Source organism: Homo sapiens, chromosome 3 (genome assembly GCF_000001405.40).
Source record: "Homo sapiens chromosome 3, GRCh38.p14 Primary Assembly".
Taxonomy (NCBI): Eukaryota; Metazoa; Chordata; class Mammalia; order Primates; family Hominidae; genus Homo; species Homo sapiens.
Window position 1 is genome coordinate 116,014,466 of NC_000003.12, and position 25,019 is coordinate 116,039,484.

At 36.5% G+C, this 25,019-nt stretch overlaps 1 protein-coding gene and 1 long non-coding RNA gene across 7 annotated transcripts in view, besides 1 other annotated feature; one reads left to right on the top strand and one right to left on the bottom strand.

Moving 5' to 3' along the window:
* Nucleotides 1–25,019, top strand: part of LOC124906269 (uncharacterized) — a 277,601-nt gene that overhangs the window by 223,365 nt on the left and 29,217 nt on the right. The window lies entirely within an intron of this gene.
* The window catches only part of LSAMP (limbic system associated membrane protein), a 643,114-nt gene that overhangs the window by 212,092 nt on the left and 406,003 nt on the right, over nucleotides 1–25,019 (bottom strand). For 5 of the 6 annotated variants that reach the window (NM_002338.5, XM_017006383.3, NM_001318915.2 and 2 more), the window contains one exon: nucleotides 5,050–5,175. In NM_002338.5, coding sequence (NP_002329.2) covers nucleotides 5,050–5,175 — 126 coding nt within the window. Of the gene's footprint in view, nucleotides 1–5,049; nucleotides 5,176–25,019 lie in introns of those variants that run through there. The other variant, XM_024453522.2, reaches the window with a different exon arrangement.
* Nucleotides 5,990–6,189: an enhancer, noted in NCBI's record as "active region_20287". NCBI's record gives its function as "activates an Ori minimal core promoter by ATAC-STARR-seq in GM12878 lymphoblastoid cells {active_cell/tissue: GM12878}" and the evidence as "EXISTENCE:reporter gene assay evidence [ECO:0000049][PMID:35858748]".

Here is a 25,019-nt window from a genome sequence, read left to right on the forward strand (position 1 = left end):
TTTTAAAATAAAAAATAAAAATATTGAAAAATAAAAAATGCAAGAGATAAATGAAAGCAATTAATAGAATAAATTGAGTCATTATTCTCTTTTGAATGTTACTGCATGGCCAACAGCCTTTACCTGCAAAATGCATACCTTTGACTAGTACACATGCATATGCTACCAAGTTTGACTCACTGAATCTTCTGGAAGGTCCACACAAGAAAGCCCCAGAGAAATAATTTCCTGAAACTTGAACTGTAGAAAATGTGTTCTTTGTGTTAAATATGAAATCATACTAATTCTAACATGCTAACTTGAAGGACCGGATGTTACTTGCAACAGGTACTTCTATAATGCAACTTAAATAAATGAGTTCAGTTTAACATTACATATTTCTCTCAAACCCATGAGGTCAGAGTCTAGGCTGGTCATATTGGGTGAGTTACAATTAGAAGTAAAACAGATGAGAGTAATAGCATTAATAGAATTAAAAAGTACCATCAGTGAAGGGTTCAGACTTGGAAATGAATTGAAAGTGGAATCTCAGATCAAGTGGTTAAAACCCAATGTCCAATGAGAAAATGGGATTTCATGCTCTTCAGACTCCTCTTAGCTTCTCCAAGCACAATATTTTCCCACTCACTCCATCAAATTGCAAAATATTTTTAAAGTGAGATCTGGTTTGTGGCTGAAAAAGAAAATTACACAGTATCTCTTGGGTTGTTCTCAGCCTAAAGGGTTAAATCCTCAGTGTGCCTTTTGAGTTTTTCAGTGATAGAAAACTACGGAGGTTGTGTAAACCTTTGCAGAAATGAAACGCATAGAAACTCTTTCTGTGACCCTGAGCAATCCTGACAACACATGATGCACATTTGAGAAAGGGACTTCCTCATGAATGTGAGAAGAAAGACTTAGAAACGAAGTTAAATGAAGATGGGAGCAGCATTGCTCACAGAAGGAAGATCAAACACTCCATAGAAAATACACGTTACAGTGCAATTGCCCTCTGGGAGTCACAGGATTATGAAAGTCTAACTTAATTAAGGGAGAAAATAGGTCACATTTAATAACTACATGTGTGACACATCATTTTGAACTATATAACTGAAGAGGGGAGAAAAATTAAGAAATCAGAAATATAAGAAGGCATGCAGAGAATGCATAAATGTCTTCAACTTCATCTAATTCAGGTGTTTTTTATTTTGTATGTATGAAAAATTCACCATTCTTCTAATTTACCTTAAGCACTTGCAGTATACTTGAAAAGGAAATTTCAGATGCAAAAAGAAAGAAACAAACTGGCCTTACCCAATTTTTTTTAAACTAAATTAAGAGGTAATAAATATTGTCTTCCTAAAAATATACCATGCATATTTCTTTCTTTTCTTTCCCTCATGTCATCAAATGACAGATAATCAGGTATTGTGAACCCTGCGTAGAATCTTCCCCTATCCAGGGCTCAATATCCCTGTGGGGTCGAGTTAATTACAGGTATATTTCCTTTGCAAGACAGTCACACTCTGTACTGTTGAAGACACAATTAATAATTGAACAAAGCTAACCATTTTTTTTTTTCCTTTCACATGGCCACGGGTTGCAGGCAGCTTTGCTGTCACACAGGGAGCAGAGTCTCTTCTTTGGGTCTCTTCCACATAGCTTGTTTGTAATCTCCAAGAAAGACTTCACATTACAGGCTGAAAAGAATCACCTACGGTTTCCATATTTTGAAAGAAATTTTTAAAAACCATGAAAACAAACAAACAAAAATCCTAGTTTCCTTTATAAAATAGCAAAGGAAAGTTCTCTCTCCTGTCACCAGGAATATGATTATGATCAGTTGGTTATTTAGGTCACATGTGAAAGAAATGAAAGAGGAGGCATGGGAATGTAAGGGAGAATAGTAGTCTGCCCTCAAGTCTGCAAACGCAATAGAAAGCTAGTTTTGCATGTGCCAGAATAGAATCTGACCTACAAAGTGGGCCTAGATAGAAGACTGTAGAAGAGTAAAGTTGTTTCCTTTGAGATGTCTGAAGGAGCTTGGTGGGGGATATCCCCAAAGCCCTACTTGGCCATGGATGAGTGCAGCAAATCCTTGTCCTATGTCCCAAGCTATGGCCTTGAGCAGGAGTCTATAAACTTCCCTGTAAAGGGCCTAATAGAAAATATTTTACATTTGTGGGCCAAGTGATCTTTATTGCAATTATTCAGTGATGCTGTTTTAGAACAAAAGCAACCATAGAGAATTTGTAAATGAATGAGCATGGCTGGGTTGCAGTAAAACTTTATGTGTGTACATTGAAATTTGAATTGTATATATATAGATACAGATATATTTTTGCATGTCAAAGAAATAAAATTATTTTGATTTTTTTCCCATTTAACAATTAAAAAACTATTCTTCACTTGCAGGCAGTACATAAATGGAGCAGACTAAATTTGATACATAGGCTGTGGTTTGCTGACCTCTGTTACTGACTATTGAGAATCCCTGTGAGTGTATCTATTTTCCTGGTTGATATTGAAGCCTCCGGGGTCCTCTGAGTTTATGTAAATACAGCCTTTATTCTTGAAGACATGGCTTGTCCTCTGGTCTTTTGTTGACTTGAAACATCATAGAAAAACAAGCTATTAAGGGGTCAAGTCACATGTTCATTATCATGGGAAAGTTTATGAGAGTTAGTTATGACTACCCAAACTCCTAGACAAGGTGGGAAAGGCTCTGAAACTCTGGTTCCACATCAGAAGTTTTATAAATTCAAGGGATAAAAAGGAATCTATCTTTAAGTTCAGTTCAGCCATAGCAAATTTTTCTTGAAAAGCCTATTTGCTAGTCAGTATTGTGCCAAAAGAAAGTGTCTTTCTATTAATGCAGTTCATTATTTGATTATAACTTGAATAGAATCTTTCTTCCTTTCTAACTCCCATTTCCCTTCTTTTATCTACCACCTTGTTCCACGTAAGAGTAAGAAATTATAAATAGTATATTTACATAGACATTTAAGTTAATTAGAAAAGGTGAGACAAAATAAAAATAATGGTAAGAAAACAAGATGATAGCAGAAGTGTGATCTGAAATGGACTTGATCCCATAAACTTCTACATAGCTTGTTTATAATCAATTTTTAATGTGTAATTTATGTATAATAATTTATATATTTTTACAGATGGTCCATAAATTTGGCTGTAAGTTTACTAACAGTCAAACAATAAAGGACATACAATCACTTATGAAAATTCACTGGGTCCTTTCTTAAAAAGCAAACGATTGCTTAGGAAAAAAGAAAGTAGAGATATTGAAAAACAAAACAAATTTCCTCAAATGGTCTTTTCAAAGGAAAACTATGTAAAACAATTAACAATCTCTCAATTATAACATTACAGTAAACACAATGATTTTAGAAGGTGTCTTTTATAATATCCTTAAATATGAGCCAATAGCTTCTATACCAAATTGCTATTCAGTAAAAGCAATGCTACTTGGGACAGGGGTAGGTGGCATGGGATTGGAGCCAACATAATGCCATCCAAGTAGAACGTGCTCTGAAGGTTTAATTCATTCCAAGGGAAAGATATAATATCTACGTTCATACTCGAGACAATCCTTTATACATATTTTTTTTCCACATGAGGTATAAAATAAGTATGCGAGTCAATGAGTTTAAGATTGCTCTCCCAAATAAGTGTCTCATGTATATATTATCAATAAATGAGAAATTGCCTGTGTTAATAAGGATGGGTTTTGAGTGACACTTTCTCAAGAAAATAGAGGCCTTTAATAAGAATACCCGCCTAAATATAAAACCATTCTATAGGTTGGTCCAAATTTTACTTGAGAAATTAATTTAGGATCTAACATCAAAGAGAGGACCCATCTTTTCACACCACACAATACAGATAGTTTTAAAGACATTATAAACAAATACTATCCTGGTCTTTTAGAAATGTCTCAGTTTAGCTCCTGTTGTACATCCAGTCTTGAATAATATTTTTATGGTGTTCATTTTAAAATGAATATGTTGTAACAAATCTCTAGTTACTTATATGAGGAAATTTTAAGTGACTATAAGATATAAATTAGTTAAATTTGTGAGTTCTCTACAAAATCAATAATATTTTATAAGAATAATTCACCTATTGCCTATCTTTCTGGAAGATTTAAATAGAAGGCTACATTCTATAAAGACTGTGTTATTTGACAAGACATGGTTTTGCATACCAGAAAATGTAATTGGTAGAGTAGAGGAGTATGTATGTACCTAATCTTAAATAATTTGCTCAAACATTTAAAAAAAGTTCAAAAAGCAGGAGGCCTGGGAACCTTTTTATGGCGATGGTGGTGAGAAGGGGAAAGAAAGGATGTTGAAGACATTCCTGGGAAATGAGTTTCTGATTTTGACTGAATTAGTATCAATAGCTGGGACTCATAATGAGTTCATGCAGCTTAGTCCATGTCTGATGCACAGAACCAGATGCCAAGGGCAGGACAATAAAAGTCAGAAACAATTCTGTATTTTCTTGATAGATTTCTTCACAAGGTGCTACAAGTTAGAAAACTGTAGTTAAAAGCCAAGCAAACAAACATACAAACAACTATGTAAAATTAATTCAGACAAAATATTGCCCCAAGACACTGAATCACCAAACTGGCATGTATTTTACATATAATATCAAGCCATTTAATGCTTCTGTATTTGTTGCATTGTGGGTGGGGGGGGGGGGGCTGTTCTATTGAAACTGAAATTTTACAGATAGATAGATCTCTTGATAGATAGATAGACAGATAGATAGATGATAGCCAGATCTACATATATATTCAGTACAATGATTGTAAACTTTATAGAGATTAACACGTTAGCAAAGACCATGAGGACCCTAAATAAATAAAATAAAAAAGTTGCCATTCTGTTAGTATTTTAATAACAAGATAGATGCATGACCTTCTGATTCAACAGAATTTCAATTCTGATTCTGAATTGAATTGAAATTTCTGATTCAGCAGAATTCCAGGAGCATGAGCATATTTTAAACAGCATGTGGCATATTGGAACCTGGAGTATTGCTTACCAGTTGGTGTAAGGTGTCTCCAGGTGATAACAGGTTCAGGACGGCCATTGGCCATGCAGACCAGAGTCACGTTGCTGCCCTCATTCACAGTGACATCCGAGGAGATATTGGAGATCTTTGGTGGGACTGTGAAAACAAAAGGAAATGGAATATGTAACCATGTCAGTAAGATTAGGCTTGTAGCCATACAACTGGAAGTGGCAAATTCAAGGTTTTATAACTTAATTTGAATTTCTGTGTTAAGAAGTAGGATGCTTTTAAGACCCATGCTTGCCATCTGCTTACCAAATCCATAAGTTGTCCTAAAGCACTACTATAAGGTAAGAACACCCTTCACAAAGCCATCTGAGTGCTGTAGGAAATACACAAAGTAGTATGATGAAAATATCTTAGCTTTTAAAAATACTAGAATGGACCTTATTTAGATATTAGACAGCATGCACATTTATGTAAATTAATATTATCATTGTTATTTAAATTTATTTTCTTATGTATATATAAATAAATATAATCCAATGTCTTCTCCAAGTACCAGCAAAAGAAAAACAATGCTATTTAGCATAAGATTACATTACTGTATTATTAAGATGTGGCAATACCTGGTTACTTATAATCTAGCAACATAATGAACATGGATTAATCACCACAATAGAAAGCATTTAAATATCATCTTTGTGTATAACAGGCTGCATGAAGTATCTTAGAACTTAAAACGTGAATTAATAAGGCCTATCTCACAGACAGGTAGACATTCAAAAATACTATTACTTCTAGTACTTCCAACACCACTACTACTAACAATGTAATTAATAGCTAGCTTTAATCAAACATTTATTATACCTAAAACCCAACATAGAGTATTTAACAAATATTACTTCAATAACTTCTTACAATAAAGAAATGATATCCTATGAAGTTTTTATTTATGGGTAGGAAACTGAGGCATAGAGGGGGCTAGGTGAGGGGCAGAAAATGAGTTTGAATCCCAGCCAATTCAGGGCCTTTGCTCATAAGCACTACTTGAATGAAACTTCCTCTTCACAACCCAGGCTACCAGATGGCTGAAAACAACAGAAATTAGTTTTTGGTGACGTGAGAAATGAGTCCTCAAGGGCTAGCTGTACTGCCGTCTGACTTCCTTCATTAGTGTTCAGGGTGGCAACATTAGATCACACGTCGGTAGGCTTAAGTGGGGAGTGAATTACTCACAAATTTCATCACAGAGGTTATGCACTGATTACAAATAGCAGGGTTTATAGTTTGACTGTGAATTTCTTCTTTTTTACTCACTTGTTTGAGCTGTCCCTGAGAAAGTATGTGTCTGGGGGAAGGAGAAGGACAAAAGAGCATGAAGGAGTTCAATAATGAATTGTATCTTTTCTCATTCTTACTGCCCATTAGAGACTCTGTGTAGTGACGAATAAAACAGGAACATTTTCTGCTTGCAGAAGCAAGCACCTGACAGCCAAACGATCCCTGCAAATCTTCATTAGGAGACACTGATGGTACTTGGGCAACTGACTGGTTCAGAGTGTCACAAGGAGGAAGCAGGATGAGGACCCTCTCCACCTCAGCATTCCACTCTTGTAGGGCCTCTGGGTAGGGGACTGGTCATTACCAGTCAAACCCAATGGCAGCAGACTGTAGTTGATTCCAAATATTTAGCAATCTCTATTTACAGAGTTCCTAATCCTCCCTTTAGCTATTGGGGTTAAGGGTCGTTTTCTCATATTCACACACTGTCTTGCAATATGTTCTTACAGACTTTTGCAGTGAAAACCTGAAAGATCATATACATTTTACAGGGAAGAATATCAGACACAGAGAAAAATGATGGCTTGTTAAGGATGAGCCCACCAAGAACTATGGCTGGACTTAGAATTCAGAGCTCCTGAATGTCCAATTATTCCGTTATTTCGAGTTCACAGTTACTAATTCCCAGATGAGTAGGCTAGTGCTCTGAACATCTTCAAAACAACTGCAATGAACTATAAATCAATGATAGTGTTTCAGAACATAATGTGGACATACTAGGTGTCATCCTCAACAATCCAAAACCTATCATAGAAAGCTATATAGTAATTCTAAGAGTCCACATTACTAAAGTTGTAGTTACATGTGAATTGCAACGCAGGACACAGGGTAAGAAGAAATATAGATATGTTCTGATAAAAAAGGCTCTATATCCCTAATATAAAACCATGCAAATTTATAAAACAGAAAAAAAATCCACAACTAAAAAAAAATCCCAGAGAATTACTACCTGTGGTGCAATTGACTCACAATCTCTCTCTCTCGGTGTTTTTTTTTTAAATAAAAGGAGATAGAGCGAAGACTTTGCATTTACATGTCACACCAGTTAAGCCACTTGTTCAATTTCACATAGACAGGTACTGATAAAGTTGGGAATAAAATCTAGAATAATTGACTACAGGGCTATGTTCTGGCCACCAAACCACACTGCATCTCCTAATTAAGGACAATCTATTCAAGTACTGAGTCTCAGAGACTGGAGATACAGAAAGTGTTTGTGCTGAATAGTTAGGAATGTAATCACGCTGTATCAGTGTATCCCATGTGCCTCTGGATCTCTTTCAATGGGTCTTACTCCATCATTTGTTTTCCTACTTTATTTTGTACTAGCTTCCTCCCATAAGCATGTACATATGATGCAGTGTTTTTTGCTTTCAAAAGAAATTTCTCCCTAAACTCTTATTAACTTCTTTTTTTTTTTTCTTTTTTCCTGTGACATAGCTTTCAGGAGATCCTGAGAACATGTGTCCCTTTTTTATTTTTATTTTTTTCCCATCTTATTTACTTTCAATCTCTCTTTCCAAATCTCTTGCGGGAATTGTTCTACACCACATCGTCATTTCCCATCCACACCTCAACCTTCAGTGCAATCTGGATTCTCTCCTTAACCTCAAATGAAATTACTGTCAGGAAGCTCACCAATTATCATATTGTTTCTAGGTCTATGGACAATTTCTGTTAGCTTGTTTTTCTCTGAAGTATTTGGCTCTGTTGATGCTCCTTCCAGTTGTTATTTTTTATTTCCCTTGGATTCTAGGACACCAAACTTGACTGTTTTTCCTCTTATCCTTGTAGTCAGCCTTCTCAGATTCACTCTTAAGCTTATCTTGTCCTTTCCTTAACTATCTGTATTTAAGAGTTTGATCACTTACCTCTGTCTTCATCTCAATCTATACATTCATCGAAGGATCTTACCTATTTTCTAGCTTCAGAAGCTAAAGCAATCAACATCTGCAGCCCAGATATTTTTCATGATTGTTATACCTACATTCCAATGGACTATTCTGTATCCCTATTGTTTGCCTCACAGACACCCAAGTTTCAACAAACTCAGGACTAAAGTCATTACCTTCATTCCCACCAAACACTTGTGTTTTATTATCTTAGTTAACAGTATCATCAGGCAGAATTGTCTAAGCAAAAAAAGCAAAGCATCTCCCTTGACTGCTCTCTCCCCTTGACCACACTCATAAAAAATTGATCCTCATGTTCTGTTGTTTATGTCATGTTCTGTGGTTTATGTCATGTTCTGTGGTTTATGTCATGTATGGAGGATCAATTTTATATAAGCGTGATGTATATATACATATATATGTGTATATATACATATGTGTGTGTGTCTCTCTCTCTCTATATATATATACACACATATCAGATTCATTCTTTACTCCCAGTCCCTACTCCCACTAACCTTGTTTCAGACATCAACATTTCTTTCTGGGATGGCCTAAATTACTGAAATGAGAAAATATTAAAAATGGTTTCGGCCAGGTACGGTGGCTCACGCCTGTAATCCCAGCACTTTGGGAGGCCGAGGCAGGTGGATCACAAGGTCAGGAGATCGAGACCATCCTGGCTAACACGGTGAAACCCCATCTCTACTAAAAATACTAAAAAAAAAAAAAAAATTAGCTGGGCATGGTGGTGGAAACCTGTAGTCCCAGCTACTCGGGAGGCTGAGGCAGCAGAATGGCTTGAACCCAGGAGGCGGAGGTTGCAGTGAGCCCAGATCACACCAGTGCACTCCAGCCTGGGTGACAGAGCGAGACTCCGTCTCAAAAAAAAAAAAAAAAAAAACGGTTTCTTTGCCTCTAGCCTTCCTCTCTTCATGCTCACTGCCACACATTCACCACACTACAATCAGATATTTTTTTCCTAAATTGCAAATATGAATATAATATCTCTTGATTAATCTCATTGTCCTCAAGATAAAATCCAAACTTTTAAATACGGTTTAATAGGTCATTCATGATTGGCCCTGCTTATCTCTCCAGCCTCATTTCCTACTCCATTTGCATTGCATCATCTGGTGGGATCAGGCAAATTTTGGCTTCTGAAATGTGCTCTCCTCACACTCTGGCATTTGACATTATATTTCTTCCTACATGAAATAGTCTTTCAACTCTTCATGCAATTACCCTCTTTCCCCTTTCAAATTTCAGCTCATCAGCTTGTCTCCTTACTTGTTTACGAAAGACCTTCCTGTCATTCCCCACCCTGCCTCCCACTCTGCTCCTGGATCCACAATGGGTGAAATGCCGTGCTGTGTTCTCACCTCATGCCCCACTCTGGAGGCCATATTGGGTGAAATGCCCTGTGTCTCACCCTCACAGCACTGAATCATGACAGCTGGGTTACTTACCTGTGCCTTTCACTAAACTGTAAGACGCACAGTGTTTTCTAAACCACTGAATCTTACAGAGCATGGTGCTTAGAACATAGTAGGTGCTCAAAAAGTGCTTGAAAAAAATTCACTTAGTTTTTCCCAACTCTTTACTTCACTCAAGAAAGGTATCTCACAGAATTTTTGTCAGAAAGGAATAAGTTTTCATTTTGAACCAGTAAAATAGAGCTCTTATCAATATTTATTTAGCTACCCCTTTAGTCATCTATTTCACTATCAACTTATTTGACTCAATAAAAAATATTAACCATGAGGCAGAGGAGTGTCTGTATATTTCAGGAACATAGGAACCAAGAAGAACTTGGTGTCTAACTTCTTCAACTACAGGCTTTTCTGAGTTTTAACGTCTTTGTTTCTTTTTCTGTGAGGACGGAGAAATAGATAGATAGATACAGATATGTCTTTCTTAGTGTAATAGTTTAGTATTTCTTTCCTAGTTTCCCATAGCCCTCCATAGAATTAAGTTTAGATAATCACCAATAACATCAGGTGGCAATTCAAAAATTTTATTCTATTACCCTATAAAATCTTTATAAAAATTCTGGGAAGTAAAATGTATTATTATTATTATTATCATTATCATTATTACTACCACTACTACCATTTCCCACATGTGGGCAAAGGGGACAAAAATGGGTAAATATCACATAGCTAATGAATAATACAGCTAGAACCAAAACCTACAATTTGTATGTTTCACAAACTTTACTCTTCCTCTAGATCATATTCACTTCTGAAAAAGTGGTAGAGATGGTATTTTTTCTTTAGTTTAATTCTCAGGAGAAATGACTGCCTAGAAAGTACTGTTTAACATAATACTCTTATTTGAATCAGCAAATGTTAAGTTTTTTATTTTTCAAAATCACTGTAATATTGATTTATGCTGAATTATTGCAGCATTGTAGTACTCTGTGTAGTGTTTTCTTTTCTTTCTAGACAATCCCTTAACAATTCTTATTTACAGAATATTAGTGTGATTTATTATATTTTCCTATATATAATGCCATGAACCATTTATTCAATGTTTTCAATCTATTCAGTTTCAGTGATAACTACATTTGTCTGGATTATTTTGTTTTTCTTACTGATTAATGAGAGCTACTTATATTGTAAGGAATTGACCTTTTGTTGTCATGTAGTAATATTTACAATTTATTCTTTGGCTCTTACTTTTTTGTTTATGATTATTTTTGTTTTGCTGAAGTTTAAAGCTTCTTTGTTGTTGTATCTATTGATCGCTCTTTTGTTATTTCTTCCATTGCTTTTGTGCATAAATAATGCTTTTCCAACATAAGAACAGTTAAATACTTATCTCAATTTCTTCTTTTTATTTTAATTGTTTCTTTTTTTATATTGAATTCTTTGAATCATATGGAATTTATTTCTGGTATGAGAAATAATCAGAGTTTTTTCCTCCCTATAATTTTTTAGCCAATGTCCACAATACCATTTGTTGAATGATGTAAAGTGCATATACTCTTTTGGTTTTCAGAATCACCCTATAAAGTGCTACCAACCTGGCCAGCCCAGTATTTCTGGGAAACATGTAAATATAGACCTTACTTACCATGCTAACTAATTCAACCAAAATATTTTTAAAATATATCATTAATTTTTTGAATACCACACTATTATGTGTTAATTTTAAAATTTGAATTATTAAATGGGTAATATTCTTTATTGAAATGCACATAAATTCTGCATTAAAAAATACACATTTCTTTCTTTTGTTTTTCTGTGTGCATTGGTGTGATCATAGTTCACTGCATCCTCAAACTCCTGGGCTCAAGCGATTCTTCTACCCTGACCTCTCAAAGTGCCGAGATTACAGGCATGAGCCATTGCATTGGGCCTACATATTTTTTTTCTATTTAGTAAAAATTTAATGGTGATTTCTGAAATAATGCCAAAATCTAGGTGCACCTAATAATATAGACTCCCTCAGCTATGCAATGGGGCAGGCTTAAGTAAGATCATGACACAGTCAGTCTGGCTCTGCCACCTGTTTTTCTGTCCCTCCTTATTGTCTTTGTAGTTCCTTTATCCACCCTCTACCAGATCTCCAGGGTCTGCCCTGACTCTTACGGACCCAGAGTTGACTGTCCAGAGTTGTTTGTACAGTTCTCTAGGTTCACAAATCATCCCTTCTTCTTTTTGTGTAAGACTAACGTTTCTTATATATGCCAAAAAGTGGAAATGGAGACAAAGTCAGGGACATAAGTGGAATAGACATATATGATTTACTTGCCCAGAATCCATGCCTCTTTCTTCTGGTAAGACATCCTGGTTTTCCTTTGGAAAAACCACTGCTTACCCACAGCTATTGGTTTGTTGGGACTCTTAATCAAGTGACCAATTCTTGGACAAGGAGTGGGTACAAGACCTAAGCTGGACCATTCAAACATCCCCGCCTTGGAACTTGGTTTCTATGAGGAATGATTCAAAAGAGGATGAAACTGACTTAATCTCTTGTTGGCAGACTGTGTTAATGGCCTCAAATCTGTACTCCTCCCTCTATCCCCATCCTTTGCCACATCCATGCCCTCCTACAGAGGGTGACATACTTTTTCATCCCTGGGTCATGTTACTTGCTTTTGCCAACAGGATGTCAGCATCTGGAACACAAGCATAGTTTTGAAAAGTGCTGGCACCATTGAATTCACTTGTGCTTATGCCTCTGCCATTGCCACGAGAAGAACATACTCAGCTGAGCCTCTTAATCCCAGGAGAAGGATGGGAGATGCCAGACAGAATTGTCAGATAAAATAGTGTACCTAGTTAAATATAAATTTTTGACAAACAACAAATGCTTTTTTAGTATAAATGTGTTCCAAATATTGCATGAGACACATTTATAAGAAAAATTATTTGTTGTTTATCCCAAATCCAAATTTAACTGGGCATCCTTTATTTTTACTTGTCAAATCTGGAAACCCTGGGAGAAGAGTCACCTCAAGAAATTCAGCCTAAATCAGCTGACTTCCCCACTTGTGCAAAATAAAGAATAACTATTATTTTATGCTCCTGATTTTGAAGTGATTTGTTCAGCAGCAATGGTTAGTACACGTCATGAAAGAGTAACCACCTAAAAGGACTATTATTCTTCACTAGTTTTTGCCACTAATTATTTGAGGTTATTATTTGGATATCCAGAGATACGGGGCTTGTGTACTTGCTGAAGTAAAGTTTTTCTGTTTTCCTTCAATTCTGTGTTATTTCATATTCTTCCAATGGACCACCTGCTTTATACATCAGACTAGCCAGTCAATTTCTATTGCTTAAATCAAAGAATCCTAATTTTTGCAAAGTAAGGATTAGCCATAATAAGGGGAAAATTTGAAGAGGGGACTTTCCACAGAGGTAAACTGTTGTCATCTCTGCCTAGATACTCCTTTGGCTTCCACATGCTAGCTTTGTTGCACGTTAAGCATTGGTTTTGTATCTGTCAGTTTGGTTGCTTTAAAACAACCTTAGATCTACAAAGCCATTTAATTCCAGCTGTGAATGTTTTAATGCCTTTATACTTGGTTCCTAACTGAACAACCATCAGAGGGAAACTAATCAGTTCCAGAGTAGGAGAGAAAAGTGGTCAGTTGGCTCATTTCCCTAACCTCAAATAATTAGCGGTTATTATTTGTACTCAATTCAAAGTGCCATTTCTAATGGTACAAATTAGCAACAAATTAGTCTCATTAGTTATTGTTCATTCAAAGATGGGGCAAGGTGTATACACTACTGTGTATGTGGTGATGGTGGGGTCTTAAAGAAACACCACCAACTCCCTAATTTTTAACTTTTCTTTGGTACAGCAGGAAAAGCTTAAGCCCTGTTTATTTGCATATGTCACAGGCTATGAAAGAATATGGTGTGTCTATGTAAGAACTGGGTTCAAAAATCTACACAATGTTTCTTGAGCAGCACTTGCTGTATTTAATAAGCATACTCCCAGGATTCAACAATGAGAATAAAAATACACAATGCAACACATAAATGCCATCTAGTGAAACATCAAACATCCATCTAACCTGGCATTTTGTTTCTGAAAATGCCACTAAAGCATGTTTTGCTGCATGGTGTGGGAGTTTCCAGGATGGATGACAGGACTGGGAAATGTAGCACAGTGTACTAGATTGAGAGCCAGGGGATTTGTGATCCTGCCCAGCCACTAGCTCACAGTGCAGCAGAATATTCTCTGACATTTGCTTTTGAATCTCCGTCATCAGGCACTTTGTAGGTGCTTAACCAATTTTGAGTGAATAAATGACCAAACTATAACAAATTATTTAAATGCTTTAGTTTCCTCACCTAGCAATTGGAGGTACAAGGTTGGCATTAGGCGATATTATGGGATTGACATTAGGGTCAAATAAGATAATGCATTTGAACTTGGTCTATCTACAAAGCAATAAGAGGTCTGACAAATGTACCTATTATTTATTACATACTAAAACTAGCTAATAAAGAAGTGTTGGCTTGAGCCCTCCTAGGATAACATGGTAAAATAGCCTATGCATTTCTGTGGCTAATGGCATTCTAGTTATATTTTTGCAGACTCCATGATTGCCAAAAGGTGTAGATAATTGCTATAATTTATAATTAATCATTAATTGTGGCATTAACAATAAATTACCCCAAAGATATGTATTGAGCTTTTATCTACTATTATGGAGAGCTATGCCAGTATGTTGAGCCATTTAATAGATGTCTAGACACTTTATATCTCCAATAAAAAGTGACACAAAAATGCAAGAATATATACCATGAGTGAAATAATTTTCACCAAATTTTTTAGAAACTTAGCTGACTCCTTTTTCCAAGAAAAAGCTGCCAAAATAAAATTGTCACAATTTTACATACTTTGTCATGTCTCCATAAAAAATTGGTCTTCTTTAATTTGTTGTCCTTGTAAACAACAGATATTGCCAGGTGATTTGTGGCTGTCATTGGAGTCTCTGAAGCCTTAGACCTTGTAGTAGAATACAACTGGCAGTGAGAATATCTTTTCCACTAGCACTAGTTCCCACTTCTATTAGGATCCATTTGCAAAGCAAGAAACATCAGCCTGTGGGGTCGGCATTTGAATCACATTTTACTGGAACATGATTTCATTTAGACACAAATTTCATGGGAAAGTAGAAAAAATACAGAAACTATAGCTTCTTTGAGTGTCAGGTGAAGCTGAGGGTAGAAAAAACTCATTATAAGTATCAGTTACTCAAATTTCTCTGCCAGGAGTGATTACTAATGCTACATTCATGCATGCATTAAGTGATGATCCAAATAACTCAAGGTAAGAGAGATAATATGCTAACTATTTAGAAGAAAAGATAAAATGTATGCACAAAACAAAGCAATGCTAGGTACCGTGTGTGTTAATGTAGTAAACTCAGGGAAACTGGAGCTGGAAGCTAATAAAAATGACATATTAAGACAATGTATGGTCAAGAAAAAGTCATCTCCCTTTAATCCTCTTTTCATCAGACAGGAGCAGTTTCTGAACTGCACAAGTAACTAAAAGTTAGTGCTTGAAGCTTCAGTTATGTAGTCCTCCGAGATGTAGCCAGCATTTTACTATGCTGCCTAAAGGTGTAAGCTGGGTAAAGCACACTCTTTTGGGCCTTTGAGCCCTACATTATTACATTCTCAAGTGGCCTTATGAGCCCCAAGCACTGTCCCAGGAAGTCAGATGTACAACAAAACAGTCCCTAGAGACTCATCCAGACAGTTGCTACCATCAAAAAGGAGGGTTAATTTGAATTAGATGGCTCTAAATAACTTAAACATGGTAGCCATGGGACAAAGAAATGTTACGTAGCTCATTTATATACCAACCAGTGGTGAATGTTCTCTGCTGGTGACACATGTGTAGCGTGGATATCTGCAAACTGAGAGTCCCTTAGTCTACCTAAAATCAAGGTATATTAAATTGAAATTTTTCTATATGTATTAAATGTTCACGATCACCTCAGAATCTAAGCGAGTGTTCTAGTTCAGAAAAGGGACAAATTATCCAGACACCAGCAAGTGCATTCAGCTAAGCGTGTCCATTATTGCTGCTTCAGCAATAGGTGCACTCTGTGTGATGTCAAGTGGCTGTTCCCATGGACGGGTCATTGCCTTGCTAAATAAAAGCAAATGGAACCCTTCTGAGTCTGCTCACTGAAGCTGCTGTTACTCAGCAAGTCAGCAACTTCTCTGAAATCTCATATTCCCAGACTCTTATTCCAGCCATTTGGATATTTGTTTTTGCTAATTTGGGAAAGCATACAGATGCTGATTTAAGTAGATAGAATGAATAAAATTACTATCTTTCCTTTACCTAGGCAAAATAACTTTTATGTTTCTGGTACTAACAGAACAGGATTTAGATACTGTCCAACCAGAGCAGATGGTTTTACTTGGCAGAAATGTGGGTAGCAAACAGAGGGAAGCTCAAAAAATATCAGGCTACCTTGGGTAGGTGGCAAATAGCAATTGAATGAATTCCAACTGCGAAATGGCACCCTAAGACATTATCAGAGAAAAGAAAAGTGTACTTTTCCCCTTTATACTCCAAAAGATATATTTTTCTATGTGAAAGGAAGTTGCATGGTATAATTCTTAGAGCAGATGAAAATTCGGGTTGCATTCCTGGCATCTACCAGAAATCCACTCCTTATTCCAGGGGAAGCCAGTAGGATTTAGCCCTAAAACATGACATATCCTTAAAAACTTCAAAACATGTCATGGGCAACCAAAATATTTTTTTCTGTGTTCTATTAATTTTGAATTAATTTTTGAATTCAATTTTTGAATTGAAAAAATTGAATGTGAGGAAATATTGCCTATATCCCATGAATGAATTATTTAGCTATTAAGATAATATGATAAAAGATAAGTCATTATATCAAAAGCAAGGAAGATTTTAAACCAGACAGAAAGGACCCATAAGTGAATAGAAAATAGAAGTATAAAGGGTTCGGGGAACAATTCCCTGTCTATTATGCTTAAGGATCATACAAAACAAAATTTACTGAGTGCCTACAACACATAAAGACATTGTGCCAGGCATGAGAAAAGGTGATGAGGGGATAAAACAATAACAATTATGACTTAGATCAACCATGTTTTCTTGTTTCAGCAGAAGTACCAGCAGGAGGTTATCATGAAAATAATATGAAGAGTTACTCTTACTTTTTCAAAATGGCTTACTGTTCATCTAATTTTTCATTTCATTTTGGGAATCAGAAATGTGTAGAGATAACTCTGGTGCTTGTAAGGATCTCTTAAATGTAATGATTTCATGCCTACATAACTAGCCTAAATTCTTTTTTTTTTTTTTTTTTTTTTTTTTTTTTTTTTTTTTTTTTTTTTTTTTTAGTTGCTTAAGGCATACAGTGTTCTTTGCATGTAGAGACGGAGGTAGATTCTAACAGAAACAACTAGGGTGAACTAAAGCATGCCTAGAATACAATGAAAATAATAAAAGTTGTTTTTTGCCACTGCTTAAGGGCCCAGAAGATAGAATATTTAGACCAAGAATATGATTCACAGGAGGTTTTAGAATTTCTTTCTTTGCATTGCCCCTGCTCAAAGCTTACCATGAACCATTTTAAATAGAATGTGGAACATACACATTATTTCCTTCTAAACAAATAGAGTTACCATTGTGAATTAATTAATACATTCACGTCAATTTTAATTGTTTCAAAAATTATAATAATGATAGAAAACACAGTAGTTGCTGCAAAGGTTAAACATAGCTAGGAGAGATAGAATTTCTGTAATTCTAATTAAGTTTGAAAATTCCAGAGAGGTACATAATGTCATTCATGCAGGGTTTGGGATGGGGATAGGGGAGAGAAATCCCAAACGAAACCTTGAATTGATGAATATGAGTTAGATTTTTTTTCCTTTTTATCTTTGTTTGCCCTTCTTTGGAGGGGCAAATCAACATTACATAATAAAAGAAAATACAAACAAGTAGAAAAGTGAGAAGAAATAATAAAAGTAATAATGACAGTAATTAATAATAATATCTAAGGTAGCATAACTTTATACAGTTTGCAAAGCACTGGTATATGCCTTGCCATATTTGATCCATACCACATGCCCGTGTGATAGCTCAGACAGGTATCATTACCACTATGTCTCACCCTTACATTGGTTGGACAACTGAGGCTCAGTGAGTTTCAGTCTCTTGACTGAAATCACAAAGCTAGAGAGTGAAAGTACTAAGTTCATGACCAGTTCTTTTGATTATGTCAAGATGAAAGGAAAGCTTTGATATTTCACAAACTAAATTATATACCACTGACCAGGCATGGTGGCTTATGTCTGTAATCCCAGCACTTTGGAAGGCTGAGGTGTGAAGCAGCAGTTTGAGACAAGCCTGGGCAACATGGCAAGATCTCATCTCTATGAAAAATTTATGGAAAAAAAATTAGCTGGACATGGTGGCACACACCTGTAGTCCTAGCTCTTCAGGAGGTTGAGGTGGGAAGATTGCTTGAGCCAGGGAGATGGAGGCTGCAGTGAGCTATGATCATGCTACTGCACTCCAGCCTGGGTGACAAAGAAGACCCTGTCTCCAAAAAAATTTAAATAAATAATAAATAAATAATTGATAACTGACAAATTAGATGCTGTCATATTGATTAAATTAAACAGAGGCCAAGATAACTGGGGCACAACTAGAGATAAGAAAGTCTGGTTAGGTGGGTAGCTGTGCTCAGCATAGAAATGGAAATGCCACTGATTGCGTAGAAGCAATGGGAGATTCGTTTACTGAAGTTAGTTTTTTTCCTGCATTATTCAGTTCTAAGATTACATGGTTAAGGATTTACTTTCTGATTTTGAGGTATTTTTCTAAATAATGGTGATAATATTCATATGTGCAACTTGAAAAGCTTGAACAATTTTGCAATGGAAATTAGATCCATTTCTATGAGCCTGTTTACTGCCTGTATCACTTCCCTCAATTTGGCCAACATGAAATGGTCTTTCTCCTCTCTCCCTTCTCTTTTTAAAACTCAAGAAGGGGGGCATGGCGATGATGGTGAGAAGGAGCATTCCATCTTTGCTTCCACAAATAAATCCCAAATGGGGCAAGCCTCTCATTAATCTTGAGCTAAATGTGAAGTTAGACATGGAGGGGCCTCTTGTTCCACCTGTCTGTTCAGAGCCCTGGGCATGTTATGGAGAAAATGTCAAAAGATTTCTCTTCTCTTACTTCTGCACCCTGCCGTGATGTTTTATTCAAACCTCTATGTCCTAAGGAAACAAACGCTGCCTATAGAAATCTCCCCCTCGTGGCTCCCGGTCTCACACATAAACACGCACAACACCTGTGTTTAGGAGAGCTGATCAATTCTCACAAAAAGCAGTCTCTCCGTAACATGCTGCGGGGCCAGAGCACTCTAGCGAATGATTTCTGTGGCAGCCACGACCCTCTGTGACTGTGTTTGTATCCATCTGGTAATGCTTGTGCTTATACAACATGATGTGTCCACTGACCCTTCCTTCCAACAAGAAATGATTTTAACTGCCACTGGAACTCTGGGTTCATATAGAAAAAAAACCTGACTGCTGGAAAAATAGGGCTGGGTGTGGGGAGAACGTGATGCAGATGTGCCTGAGAATGGGTCGGAATCAGCAGCTCGTCCACAAGGGAAGAAAGGAGGAATTTTTCTTGCTTGACTTTGCATCAGCTCTATATTTGGTACTGCCCTTGTGGCCAGCAGGGATAGTAGCTTTTCCATAGGGTCTGGGCTGGAAATCTATAGAGACTACATTTGAGTTTCTATAGAAACTCTAAGGAAATTGAGCACAGGATGAGGAAAGTGAGCGGCTCCCACTGTCTCTATGTCCCATTACAAGCACATGAGACAGGTTACAAAGCAAGAATTAGGACAAGATGGTCATGGTGGTCATGCAATTGGATGCACATTGGCACAGTCAGTTAAGGTACCTGACATGAGGGATCCTTTGTTCTCAGTGAGCCACAGACTGCACAAGGCAGAGACACATGCAGCAGCAGTGAGTAGGATTCCTGTTTTTATCGGTTCCAAACAGCTCCAGATGGACTGAGAACCAGGCCTGGTGGCCACCAGGAATATTCTTGATTCTCAGCCCATATCTCTTCCTTTTTAATCCATGAGGAAAGGGCGAGCTGCTCCCTGTCTGTTCCTCTACCCATCCTCCCTCTGCCTTTGGCAAGTCACTTAACCTCATCTGGAATATAACTTGGCCCCCAGAGACTTTGGACATAGGGTGTTTTATTTCCAAGAGTCAGACTTGTCATACCAGCAGAAAGCACAGTGCCTAGTTTGATATGGCTTTTCATTAGCTGTGTGATAAGGGAGTTAACGAATCTTCAATACCATGTGTAAAATTACAAGGAAACAATACTCAGGGCCACTTGTGATTACTTTGCTCTCTTAGCCTTTTGCTAATGCTTTTTCATTAATTATACAGCCATCACATTTCTCCTGATGGTAAAATACCCCAAGTGGCTCAACTCCAAACTGCAAATGTTTAGCTATTTGCCCTTCCTCTAATGATTACAGGCTGTGTGAGAGAACATAATATTAGCCTCTTTCCATGTTATGAAAATTGAAGGTATGCCCAGAGAAGCTAAGGTTTAAGCCTCAAAGAAAATCTTCTCCAACATATTTAACATATATATAGTGTTACCAAAGAAACGTAAAAGAATGCAAAACATCTCCTCTCTACTGACTTTTCATGAAGCTGCACAACACATTAGGCTTTGCCTTATGCTGGTCCCTCTGATGGCTTTGGGAGTCAGATCAGGTTTCAGCTATAAGCCAGCTGGTGCCATCCATTTAAGGGAAAACAGTTATGTAAGTGAAAAAGATTCTAATCACTAAGTCTAATTACAAAGTAGAGTAAATTATTATAGATGTTTTTTAAAGTATCTTAAAACACTGTAAAAAAGAAAAATTAGGAACCAAACAGAAACCTGCTATGCTGGTAATTGATAACATGTTTGGGATTAAGACAGTCACATGTTAAATTTTATATGCTACTGCTATTTGTGAAACATGACTCCTCATTCACACATTAAAAACTGTATAACCTTTCTCTCTGTTTCAATCAGATGCTACATTGTTTGACTCAAAGTACACCTTAGATTATAGGTCCTAACCTGGAGTAATAGAAATGTTTCACTTACACTGGACAAAGGGAACATCAAATTAGTCTACTAATATGATAATAATTTGTCAAGAGAAGGAAAAGGGGGTGGGGAAATGAGTGACACTTTACATAGACGTGTGAATTTTCCAAATGCAGATCTAGCCTCTCCTATTTAACATCTTTCATTAAAATATTTCAAATGCTACACATTCTCCTAATTGATGCAAAAAAACAAAGACAAACACATTAACATTTAATCCTTGGTTTATACACTAGGCTTCCACCCAGATATTTCTTAAATTAGCTCTGTTTATACTCTGTCCAGCGACCATGGACCTCACCATTTAGTCCATCTGCTTCCTGGAAAAATGAATGTGTGTGCTCTTAACTTTCAATGTGCTTCTGAATGGTATTCTCAATTTATTGTCTATTATGTCATTGGACGTTGTGGAGAAGGCTGTCAGTGCTCACCAAGTATCTATGTTGCTTCTCGACATTCTCCAACCTCTTGGGGTTCCTTTGGGACCATACAACTGGGCTGTAGCCAAGAAAATGTTGGGAAATGTGAGGTAAGCAATATGGAGGCCTAGCCCTTAAATAAAAGCCCCTTCTTACCTTGTCACAGCGACTGTGGTGGATACACGATCAAGAAGGCATAGCTGCTACGTAACAGAGGCATGCATAAACTGAACTGGACTACATGAGCAAGAAATAAGTCATGAGAACTCAGTAGTATCTGCTTCAGCCACTAACATTAATGACCAAAATGACTCTGATGAAAGCATCATTAAGAAGAGAAAATTACACAACTTTTATTTAGGAGTGTATGGGTCTGAAAGTCAGAAACTTGATATGATGTCCTCTCAGAGTCCCTCATGTTTCCTGACTATGACCACTGAATGGAAACTCTTTCTTCCTCCATTGAATGGAGACTTTGGATGTTAATGAGTACACAATTAATCCTCCAGTCTACTCATCCATTTCTTCTTTATTTTCTGACGAGTTATAGCCTCCTGCCTGACAGAGGCCGTCACCTTGTAAGAGATATAGGCCTTATAGGAACTTCTCTGCTCTGTGATTCTGAAGCCACAGTTCAGAGTCAGAAATTGATGTCTTTGACTAATTCTGTGCCTCACTTTTGTCTTCACTGCCTGTCAGGCATTCGTTATCTGTGAGCCCACCCCAATTATAAATCTTTGGTGCTAAAAACCTGTAAGTGGCTACTTCCAGGCCCCTAACCTATAAGTCACTGAGCCTGGAAATTTGGCAATCTCAAAATGGAATTTTATAAAATGCATAGTGTCAAAGAAAGTATTCTGTAAAATCTAAACAAAGATAATATAAGAGTATTATTGAATTAGCAAAATGGCATTCTCATCAATAGAGTCACAACTTCCATTCACAACTATTAAGATAATGAACAGTACCAAGTATTTCTAGAAATTGCTTGAGGAAATATTGTACTAAAAATTCTTACTTTGCAGTCCAGGTACTATAACCAAGTTTCTCTCCATTTGCATATGCTAGCTAGTAAATAGCATAGCTGCTGGAATAAATGAGTCCTGGATAATATTTTTGGCTTTCTCTCTGTCTTGGTATCTTTTGTACCTGCAGATCTTTTTTTCTTCCTCCAGCTAGAGGAGAAAGACAATACCTCAGGAATTATTTAAGGAAAATCTGTTACATAATCAATGCAAGGACTCGGGGACCTCTGTATTAGTTTCCCTTACTGAAATACAAAATTATGCTTTATCAGAACAAATAAGATTTCAAACATAGGTCAAGTATGTTCTCAGTTTCCCATAGTGAAACAATTCTATATTTGGCATTTTGCAGGTTTCCTTATTAAACAATCATTTCTTCATAAGAAAAACATAAAGGAATTTCACTGAATATATTTCTAGTACAGAAGCTATTTTTAAGGCCAACCAGGGAGGATTTCAGGATAATAGTGAGAGGGACAAACTGAAAATGTGTGACTCTGGATAGAAAATAAGATCTGGCCTACATAAGTAAGCAGTTATCTAAGAGCAGTCCCATTCACTAAATGCAAGGCTTCAGGAGACCTAGATTTTGAGCCCCATACTTTCTCTGACTCTCAGTAGGGCTCCTTCATGCTACAAAATCTCTCCATAGTTCAGTCTCTTTATCTCCAAAGAGATAAAAATAACATTCCAATTTTCTAGATTCCAGGACAGACACAAGGATTAACTAAATCATTTAGGGAAAGTATATTGGGTATATATGCTTAGAATATTTTCTTTTATGTAATCTTCTTCTCAGAAAGCACAAAAGGAAGATAAAATTGAGCCAGAATTGTATGGTAACATTACTGATTTTTATGTAGGGCTTGCAGAATATGTCCCATGACTATGTGGTTATACTTGGCCTAGCACACCTTTATAGTTTGTATGTGCATATATATAATCATATATATAATCATACTGATATATATATATCAGTAATGTCCTATATGACAAGATTGTACTCAACTTCAGTGGTATAAGCTTATTCTGTTTAGATGAGCATTTTAGAAGTGAACCAGGAGGACTAACCCTTGAGCTGAATTTCCATAGTCTCATGGTTAATGCTTCCTTATATGGATGAACATAAGAGGCCAGGGATCTAGAATAAAAGATATGAGTGTGATCAATGTCCTGAACAAAGGATGTCTGAAGATCCAAGAGGATGGGGACTATCTCTTTCAATATGTATTCATAGTGTATAATTTGGTGGTTAGACACTGGGTTTCAGAGCCTTGTTTCAGTCCCAGTTCCTCAATTTACTAGCTATTTAATCTTGGGGAAATTACTTAATCTTTCAGTTTTCTCACCTGAAGGATGGGAAAATTAACTTATAGGCCTTTACAAATTTTAAATAAAATAATGCGTGTGAAATACATGATGTCTGGAATATAGGAAGTATTCATAATAAATGTCACTAATCTCTGAAGACGCCAGTGCCACCTGATTGGAACATCAGAAATAGTGATTTGAAATATTTCTCTGGAACACAGAAAGGGAAAGCATGAATAAATGTATCAGTGAAGGCCAGAGACCTCTCTCTGGACATACACTTTTGGGAGGTAACAGGTGACCAGCAACTTTTATTTACTTGAATCTGTAACATCTCTGTAGAGAAAACTAAAGCATTAAATAGGATTTATTTCTTGAACCGTGGAATGCCTTGAATACTTTCTTTTTATTTCTAATTCCTTTGCTCTCAGATGAGAGCTCTCTCCCCTTCTCTGAGATGTATGCTATATATATACACCCGCCTCTCATTCTGAGATACACACTACAGTCACTTAGCACTTCCTCTTTTAATTGAAGGCTGTTCATTTGGCTGGCCTAAAGTAAGAGAGAGAAGTGCAAGTCAGAAAGACCACGAAGGGCAACAGAATAGAAATATTGCTCAAATGCTTGTCATTTTCTGCATGTTATAAGACAAAAGACTGAGATCTTCCCTTATATTGGGTAAGAGTTATAGTTGATTGAGAAACCACAATTGAATAATGTTTCTTTTGTGCAAATAAAAATACCAACCTTAAGGCAGCATTAGAATACTTTGCATAGCATTTACTTCAGGTTTTCATGAGAGAGGGAGGATAAAAACAACCTATATTTGATGCAGTTCCAAGGTCTTTCTTTTTTTCCCTGCCAGTGTTTGCAATAGCCTATATTTAAATGTATAGAGGTGTCTTCAGAGAACCACAGGCATAGAGAATTAGAAGTCTGTAACTGGAAGCATCTTTCAGGGTTGAGAAATGTAAGCTATTGTGAAAGCTCAACAATACATGTTGAAACAAATCTTTTGGAAATGATTGAATTGAATGTTTTCACATAAGCAAATCTACATTTGTCATTCTGAATTCTTTTTATGGAAAGATGGTGTTTCCCCCTCCTGTTTAGGTAATTAAAACTAGTCACTTGATGATCATTCATTATCAAACATTTCTGCACATGGCAAAAAATGCTTTGGGGATGAGACCCTGCTTATACAATTTCATCCATCAAAGGAAGTCTTTCTCCAGAAGCTATTATTCACTCTGTGAGAGTACATTTAAAAGCATTACTTCACACCTAAGTAACGTGTTAACAGCACAGAGTGTCTCTCC